The sequence below is a fragment of the Homo sapiens genome, chromosome 6 (assembly GCF_000001405.40).
Source record: "Homo sapiens chromosome 6, GRCh38.p14 Primary Assembly".
Classification (NCBI taxonomy): domain Eukaryota; kingdom Metazoa; phylum Chordata; class Mammalia; order Primates; family Hominidae; genus Homo; species Homo sapiens.
In genome coordinates, this window is record NC_000006.12 from 98,517,452 (window position 1) to 98,520,449 (window position 2,998).

Consider the following 2,998-nt stretch of genomic DNA (forward strand, 5'->3'; position numbering starts at 1 on the left):
TCTTCCTATTATGTAGTAAATTAGAAGGTAAAAAATAAAAGATGGGGATAGAAAAATATTTCTGTTGTGAATGGCTGTGTATTTTTAGCTAAAAATGCTTTAAGTAGTCTAAAAGACACGGGCAACATAGGGCTATTTATAAAGGAGGATATTTCTCCCAGGCAGGCAAAGCTGCCCCTCCTGGCACCATGTTTTGCTGAATAGCACAGCGCCCTGAAGCTGAAGTCTCCCTTAGTCAAACAACAAGGGCACTCTGAGTGACAGCAGCAGTGTGGCGCATTCGATTTTTGAATAATATCGCAAACACGAATAAAATTCAAAGTAAAGATACCACACTCTTGATAATATCCCAAATGGAATTCTATCAATATTTTAGTTCCCATTTGAAATCTGGCACAAGGGACTGTGAGCTTTGCCGACTCTATCTTCTATGTCAATTCACTTGATTGTAGTGTGGAAATTCAGGAACAGTGGCGGTAATATTATTTAACCTCTTGTACTCCGGTCATTTGAACATTATAAGGACACCCTTACATAAAGATGCTTTTATTAATTTTAGTGGGCTGGAAATGAAAACGCAAGATATACAGCGCAGGCCTAGAGGGTCATACAAGTGCCCTTTTACAGGACCTAACCTGTAAATCTCAAAGCACAAAAGAAGTTACCGTGGCTATAAGACCTCATAAAAAGGTAATAGGAAAATAAATTACAGATTTTGTTTTGGTTGGCTTTAAAAATCTGGTTGTAGCAGAACTTTTAGGAAATCTAAACTTTAACTAAATATCCGGAGTGTATTTATGACTTCAAAGAAATTCACTTTCACACCCAAATATGTAACACAGCCAAGTCATTCTACTGTATTACTTGCTGTCATTCTGCTTCAGAAAGTTGCACATTTTTCAAATAGAACTATAGAAATGAAATGAACATATTATTTCAAACAGTGTTTTTTCACAGAATCATTTTCTTCTTTGTTTATTTTTATTCCAAAGACTATTTTTCAAAGTCTATTTTTTTTGTAGTGTTGTTATAATAATGATCTTTCAACCCAAAGGTCTGAGGGTTGTTTATAATTGCTATTATTCCTTTCTAACTACATAGAACATTCTTCCTATAATATCCACATCTATACATACTGTAAATATTAAGCATTTATTATAGCTGTGACTATTTTTATTACATGGAAGGTAGTAAGTAACCTAGGTCTTGTATTCATGAATAAAGCAATTTATAGTGGTGATATTAGTGTCCATATAGCATTGATGTCATAAGAACCACAGAAGTATTGACGGGAAGCCTCTCAGACACAATGCTTTGACCACTGGTCAGGACTGAGATGATCCCAGTACCCGCTGAGGACAAAGCCACAAGGGACCTGACAGCCACTATAAACATTTTGGATACACATCAACCAGTGCTTGAAAAATGCTCCATTCCTAATGCTCTCCATAAACTCAGGTCCAGTGTTGTTATCACGATCACTGGTTGTTACTATCTAATATCAAATATATTTCTCATTGTTCTAATATTTCCTATTGTTCACATCCTAGGAAGGAAGAAAAATCTATTACTTAATCCAATAACCTGGTATCTTCTTCTATAAATTCAAACTGCACTTAAATACTGCTTGACTAATCGCTTACACATTCTCATAAAGTATGCTGAGAAAGACATCATGATCCTCTATTTTGCAGACTGAGAAGGTGAGATGAGGTGATATAAAGTGGCTTAGGGAGGACCAATTTAGTGACATCTAAGAATTCTACCTGAGTTCAACTCAGAACTGATTCAAACTTTCTAAGTTTGAAATGCCATGGAAGTGAGTTATGAAAGCTACGAACTTGCTCTCTGGATGCCAGTGTATTAATATTTTCTTTTGCACTTGCATGAGCTTTAAAGTATAATTTGACAAAACTTATCCTGAATGCTAAAAACTGATTAACATCATCGTCATAAAGAAAAACAAAGTTTTTACACACAAAGACAAAAATTTCCTTTTACTGAAGTGCCTAGTTCTGATTTTCAGAAATATCAATTATAACTAAAAAACTCTTGAAAATTTCCAAAAGGTTTTCTAATTAAAAGGACAGATCCAATGCAAAGATGATACATAGAACGTGTGTGTAAAAAGAGAAAGATAAGAAAAGAAAAAAGATTACGGTTGTTTAATTATAACATTTACAAAGCTAACATTACAACATTATGGGTAATCATCTTATTTGTAAAGCCTTAGAAGTGTGAAACTAAATATCCATGAAGTAACCTAATTTTCTGTGTTTCTTCCATAACATCCTCTCATGACAGTCAGCTAACTTAGTGCAACATGCCAATCATTGCTATAGAGAGATGGTGATTTTCATTTGACCTGATTTTTTACAAAGAGGAAGGCCCGACGTATGTATTTGAAAAGATGGGAGTTGGGGGATTGTTTGTTTGTTTGTTTGTTTTGGTTTGGTTTGGTTAGGATATATCATTACATTTTACTTTCTAATTTTTGAATGCAAATTGTACTTAGAACTGTGATCAGAATTACTTCTGTTTATGTTTAATTACAGTGTTCGTGACTGCATGCAACAAATGTAAACATTCATCAGCATGTATGGAAACTGCTCGTCGCTACAGCGTGTGCTATGTCTGTTCTTTTCCTGATCCCAGCAGTAAGTAAATCTTGGCAAAAATAGAGGATACAGCTATGAAATGAGCCCAATTCAAAAGTGGTGTAATATCGGTAATATATGTTTGGGCTCTTCTCACAATGAGAACCATACAGTTTAGTAGATAAATTCTAATAGTTTATTTCATTTAAAACATCCCTTCTTGTTCACTCTGATGGTAGTTTCTCTTGCTATGCAGAAGCTCTTTAGTTTAATTAGATCCCATTTGTCAATTTTTGGCTTCTGTTGCCATTGCTTTTGGTGTTTTAGACATGAAGTCCTTGCCAGTGCCTATGACCTGAATGGTATCGTCTAGGTTTTCTTCTAGGGTTTTTATGGTTTTA

The 2,998-nt window shown here is 34.6% G+C and overlaps 1 long non-coding RNA gene across 1 annotated transcript; it reads left to right on the forward strand.

Moving 5' to 3' along the window:
• Positions 1-442: 442 nt before the first annotated feature.
• LOC105377910 (uncharacterized) lies at positions 443-2,391 on the forward strand. The gene is made up of 3 exons (XR_942812.1): positions 443-690; positions 1,551-1,703; positions 2,305-2,391. It is a non-coding gene; the product is annotated as an uncharacterized LOC105377910 (long non-coding RNA).
• The last annotated feature ends 607 nt before the right edge of the window (positions 2,392-2,998 follow it).